The 5,212-nt window shown below is 57.9% G+C and overlaps 1 protein-coding gene across 2 annotated transcripts, besides 5 other annotated features; it reads left to right on the top strand.

The window, feature by feature from the left end:
- Positions 31-80: an enhancer, noted in NCBI's record as "active region_26847". NCBI's record gives its function as "activates an Ori minimal core promoter by ATAC-STARR-seq in GM12878 lymphoblastoid cells {active_cell/tissue: GM12878}" and the evidence as "EXISTENCE:reporter gene assay evidence [ECO:0000049][PMID:35858748]".
- Positions 303-4,385, top strand: CDK5 (cyclin dependent kinase 5). Of its 2 annotated transcripts, NM_004935.4 has the most exons (12): positions 303-388; positions 1,040-1,128; positions 1,225-1,292; positions 1,404-1,464; positions 1,564-1,620; positions 2,352-2,447; positions 2,594-2,668; positions 2,827-2,923; positions 3,104-3,173; positions 3,735-3,795; positions 3,908-3,988; positions 4,105-4,385. In NM_004935.4, the coding sequence occupies exons 1-12, from the start codon at positions 352-354 to the stop codon at positions 4,189-4,191; spliced, it is 879 nt and encodes a 292-aa protein (NP_004926.1). In that variant the 5' UTR covers positions 303-351; the 3' UTR covers positions 4,192-4,385. The 2 variants fall into 2 exon arrangements, with proteins under 2 accessions (NP_004926.1, NP_001157882.1); NM_001164410.3 differs by lacking the exon at positions 2,352-2,447.
- Positions 411-540: an enhancer, noted in NCBI's record as "active region_26846". NCBI's record gives its function as "activates an Ori minimal core promoter by ATAC-STARR-seq in GM12878 lymphoblastoid cells {active_cell/tissue: GM12878}" and the evidence as "EXISTENCE:reporter gene assay evidence [ECO:0000049][PMID:35858748]".
- Positions 411-1,032: a biological region, named in NCBI's record as "H3K4me1 hESC enhancer GRCh37_chr7:150754255-150754788".
- Positions 499-1,032: an enhancer, noted in NCBI's record as "H3K4me1 hESC enhancer chr7:150754255-150754788 (GRCh37/hg19 assembly coordinates)". NCBI's record gives its function as "activates a minimal SCP1, AML or CMV promoter by ChIP-STARR-seq in primed H9 embryonic stem cells {active_cell/tissue: H9 hESC(primed)}" and the evidence as "EXISTENCE:reporter gene assay evidence [ECO:0000049][PMID:30033119]".
- Positions 4,151-4,651: an enhancer, noted in NCBI's record as "H3K4me1 hESC enhancer chr7:150750636-150751136 (GRCh37/hg19 assembly coordinates)". NCBI's record gives its function as "activates a minimal SCP1, AML or CMV promoter by ChIP-STARR-seq in naive H9 embryonic stem cells {active_cell/tissue: H9 hESC(naive)}" and the evidence as "EXISTENCE:reporter gene assay evidence [ECO:0000049][PMID:30033119]".

Genomic DNA, 5,212 nt, shown 5'->3' with positions numbered 1-5,212 from the left:
GAATAACAACAGCGGGGCACACTGGGAACCACGGCGCCGCGGCGGGGCGCCCGGAAAACGGACACGCGTTGCTTCCTGGGACTTGAAGTCCAAGGTTTGCCTCCGCGGTAGAAACGGAGCCCTGGAGTCGAGTGCTGCAGAGAGCGTGAGCGCAGACGGCTGGGGGTTGTAGTCTTCTTGTCCTCGGTCTCGGGCATTGCGGGGAGACCTAGTCGTTTTAGGACTACAAGCCCCAGAAGGCCCTGCGCGGGCAGACGGGGCGGGGCTGGAGGCTCAGGTGCCGCCTCCTCTGCAACGCCGGGGCCAGAGTCTTAAAACCGAGGGCCCGCAGGGGTCCCCGCGGCCGCCGCGATGCAGAAATACGAGAAACTGGAAAAGATTGGGGAAGGTAATGGAATCTCGAGATGTTCCTGCAAGAGCTCCTCTGCAGATCCTTCGGCATTCCTTGAAGCCCTGGCTCCCTTACCGTCAGCAATGCCTACAGGCTCCGATCTCAGCAGCGGCTGCAGCCCTGGCCCCCTAGCTCAGCACTCCGTGCAGACACCAGTCTTCCCCGTGTTAGCATTTCCCGCAGGGCTCTCACTCCAACCTTAGCGTTCCCAGTAGACCCGACCTCCCAACCGCGACACTTCCTGAAATTTCTCACCCCAGCCTCAGCAGCACTTGGACAACCTCACCCCGACCCCCAGCCTCGTTTCTTGCTGCAGACCTCCAACCTCAATATTTCTGCAGCCCCTCAGTCCTCTCCCAGACCCCTCCTCACTATTTCCAGACCCTTCCGGAGCACCGCCTTCATTTTAGACATCCTTGCCCTGGCAACCGCACTCGCCCCTCCTGCCGAGCCCCTGGAGCCTCGGTGGGCACCTTCTCCTCCCTCCCCACCTGCCACATCCTCACTCACAAAGCTCACCAACCTACCTTCACCCTGAATCCCTTCCCTTGCATACTGAGACGCTGCCTTCACCTCTCTCAGGAGGCATTTCCTGGCTTAGGGAAGAGTGCCGCATCCTCACCCTGACCCCTGACCTCCTTCCCCTAGGCACCTACGGAACTGTGTTCAAGGCCAAAAACCGGGAGACTCATGAGATCGTGGCTCTGAAACGGGTGAGGCTGGATGACGATGATGAGGTAGGACTGGGGAGTGGGATACGGCCTGGGGAGGGGTTTGAGGGCCTGGGCTGGGTGGGATCTGACTGCTGCCCACCGGCCCCCTCACATATGCAGGGTGTGCCGAGTTCCGCCCTCCGGGAGATCTGCCTACTCAAGGAGCTGAAGCACAAGAACATCGTCAGGTGTGCGGGAGGCGGGTGCTCCTTGCCGGTGTGGCCGCTTGGGGGAGGCGGGGGCTGACACTGGACGTCTGTCAGGCGGACCTGCCTGGCTGAGCCCTTCTTTTGCCCTAGGCTTCATGACGTCCTGCACAGCGACAAGAAGCTGACTTTGGTTTTTGAATTCTGTGACCAGGTGAAAGGCGGGGTTTGGAGGACAGTAGCCTTGGGAAGGTATAGGGGCCCAGATTGAGGTTAAACTCTGTCCCATTCCCCCACTCATATCCCTTTTCAGGACCTGAAGAAGTATTTTGACAGTTGCAATGGTGACCTCGATCCTGAGATTGTAAAGGTGAGGAGAGTGGTGTTGGGGGACCCCTCAGGCTGGGGTCGGAGTCTGCATTCGGTGTAAGCACCCCTTGGGCTCTAAGTTTGGGCCCTGAACAGGGACACTCTAGGGTGTTAGAGAATGAGAAAACCCTGTTTCTGTCCTCCAGGGGTCTCCAGTCTTAGTGAGCATTTTCACGTGGTCATCTTTGACCCGCACAGTGTCATTCTGATGTCAGTGATATTATTTACACTCGAGAGATGAGAAAATGAGGTTCAAGGAGATACACTCATTCATTCAACACATACTTACTGAATGCTTCACTGTGTGCCAGGTGCTTTTCTAGGCCCAAGACCAAATGCCTTGGTCCAGGTTCCAGGGGAGCCAGTCCTGAATGATACTACAGCACGATATTTATGTTGATGTTCACGGCGTGCATACTCAGATGCGGCCAGGAAGGGAAGATCAGCATGGGCTGGGATCTAGGCCGGATCTAGGATCCACCTGCCAAGGCCCATTAGGCTGTATGGTCCAGGAAGGTGGGGACCAGAGCCAGCTTCTTTACTTTGGTCCCTCTAATGCCTAGCACAGTATAAAGCAGGTCCTGGATGGCGAATGAATGGTGTCACTCTGAACCAGGTGCTGAAAGGTGGGTGGGGTGGAGCGAAGCACAGGGTGAGGAGAGGAGCCGACCCGTTGCTGGGCACAGTTGCATGTTCAGGGCGTCTGACTCCCTTCTCCCTCTCTCCTCCCAGTCATTCCTCTTCCAGCTACTAAAAGGGCTGGGATTCTGTCATAGCCGCAATGTGCTACACAGGGACCTGAAGCCCCAGAACCTGCTAATAAACAGGGTACTTCTTGGGAAGAAGGTGGGGAATGGAGAGGCTGGGGCCAGGGCACGGGGAGCACAGAGGGAAGAGGACTGGGAGGATGGAGTTGGTGCTGTCCCAAGGCTTTTTAAAGGCCCTTCTCCATGTCCCCTTCCCATTCCCTTCAGAATGGGGAGCTGAAATTGGCTGATTTTGGCCTGGCTCGAGCCTTTGGGATTCCCGTCCGCTGTTACTCAGCTGAGGTGAGCTAGAAGATGGGATATGGGATTGGGGGAGGGAGTCCCTCAGCTCCAACCCCAGGACCCAAAACATTATTTTCCTCTCCTCTCTGAGCCTCCTCCTCAAACCTCCTCCCCAGTCCTCTAAGTGGGAGGTCCCTTTCGGGGGGGGTCTCCTCCAGGTGGTCACACTGTGGTACCGCCCACCGGATGTCCTCTTTGGGGCCAAGCTGTACTCCACGTCCATCGACATGTGGTCAGCCGGCTGCATCTTTGCAGGTGATGTGCTGGGGTGTTGCAGAGGCACCTTCTTTCCCATTTGAGTTGACAAATAGGGTCTGGAGGGTCCCCTCTGGGGGAAGGGAGGGAGGCCCTGGGACTGGAGCTGGAAGGTCAGGGGGTACCTCAGAGTGAGGGGTCCTTCACATGTCACATCTTAGCCCCCTGTCTATCCCCCAGAGCTGGCCAATGCTGGGCGGCCTCTTTTTCCCGGCAATGATGTCGATGACCAGTTGAAGAGGATCTTCCGATATCCTTGCTTTCCTCTGCCTTGAGCCCTCTGGGAGGGGAGAGTCCATGGAGTTTTGAGCACAATGGGTGAGGGCAGTGATGGTGTGGGGTAGGGTGATGGGGTCTGTAGGGCTTCTCCTGAGGGCAAGGGGAGAGAGCAGGGGTGCTGGACACCCTGATTGTCACAGTGCAAATGCACACTGGAGAAGGTGTGGCTTGGAGACAGGCAGCGTGCCCTGAGGGGTGAAGCCGAGAGGGTGTCCCTCCAGGTGAGAGATGGATGCCAGGATGAAGGAGCCAAAGAGAACAGGACACATTTTGTGGGAGCAGGGCAAGGACTGTTTCATTAGGACTAGGACAGCAGCATGTGGGTTAGGTGATTGTCATGGGAAACGTGGCTGGATATGCGAGTGACCTGCCTGGGGCTGCTTCTGTCAAGCTCAAGCCGGAGGGTAAAGGGAGGGTGAGAAGTGGGCGGTGGGTATGAGGAATCCCTCCCCAGGAGGGGAAGAGGCCCTCACCCTGCCCCTGAAGATGCAGCTGTGGCCCTTTCCCAAGTGATCCTTGACTCCGTGGACACACTGCTGGGGACGCCCACCGAGGAGCAGTGGCCCTCTATGACCAAGCTGCCAGACTATAAGGTGTGATGGGGAATGTGGGGGTCATGGTTCATCAGGGTCACTCGTTTCACATTCCTAGCGCCTCCATCCCCCTCCCCCTACCTCTAGTCTGACCCTCCCTGCCTCTCCACAGCCCTATCCGATGTACCCGGCCACAACATCCCTGGTGAACGTCGTGCCCAAACTCAATGCCACAGGGAGGGATCTGCTGCAGGTAGGTGACCAGGGGTAGAGGGTGGGTCAGGACACTTGCCCAGTGGGACTACAGGAAGGCAGGGCTCTGGGCAGTGACCTGTCCTGAACCTGCCACCTCCTTTCCCCCATCTCCAGAACCTTCTGAAGTGTAACCCTGTCCAGCGTATCTCAGCAGAAGAGGCCCTGCAGCACCCCTACTTCTCCGACTTCTGTCCGCCCTAGGCCCCGGGACCCCCGGCCTCCAGGCTGGGGCCTGGCCTATTTAAGCCCCCTCTTGAGAGGGGTGAGACAGTGGGGGTGCCTGGTGCGCTGTGCTCCAGCAGTGCTGGGCCCAGCCGGGGTGGGGTGCCTGAGCCCGAATTTCTCACTCCCTTTGTGGACTTTATTTAATTTCATAAATTGGCTCCTTTCCCACAGTCTGGTTGATGTGGTGGTCAAGTGGCTCTACAGGGCCCATGGGCTGGAGGTGTCTCTGGTCTGTTACTGCCGGCCGCAATCCTGCTTCTGGCTCAAAGACAGCACCTTGCTCTTCTACTTTAAGAGGCCATGACCCTCACCCCTCACCCCTGGGGCAGGGCAGCACTGTCGCTGCACACCCCTTCCTCCCACCCTCCCTTCCTCTGCCCAGGAGGGCCTGATGTGGTCCCTCAGAGTGAGGGGAGCAAGGATGGGCTCCCCACCAGGGTGGAGAGGAAAGGGCTGGGCCTCTCCTTGTGGTTCTCCATATCTCAGGTGGATCCTCTTGTCCTTTCCCTCATCATCCCCCCCATACCAAGGCCTGCAGGCTGGCACAGGAGAGCCCCAAAGATATGGTTCCATCAGGAACACCCCCTCCCACTCCCTATTTGTCAGTTTCCCAATGTTTGGGGTCCAGTGAAAGAGAGGGAAGTTGGGCCTGTGGCTGGGGCCTGGTGTGTCCTTACTGGCAGGAAGAGGAAGGGAGGGCTCCGCCTACCCCCACCCCCACCCCCACCGTCTCAAGCCTGGGGCCTTTAGCTCTTGTGGGGAGGCTGAGGAGGCAGAACTTGTTTGTATGGAGACAGGCTGTGTGCCGCACTTGGTCCCAAATGTGGGAAAGGAGTCAGGATGTAAGGCAGGACACAGGTGTTCTTGAAAGTGGAGTCACCCCGTCTTCTCCCTGCCTCTTCTTGCTGAGCTCTGGGCAGAGTTTTCTTCCAGTTATACCTTTATTGCTGACTGTGATTCTGCACCTCACACCTAACCCGGGCTTGGAGGATACCTG

Source organism: Homo sapiens, chromosome 7 (genome assembly GCF_000001405.40).
Source record: "Homo sapiens chromosome 7, GRCh38.p14 Primary Assembly".
NCBI classification, from domain to species: domain Eukaryota; kingdom Metazoa; phylum Chordata; class Mammalia; order Primates; family Hominidae; genus Homo; species Homo sapiens.
Note: the sequence above shows the minus strand (reverse complement) of the source record. Positions and strands in the feature narration are given on the sequence as shown.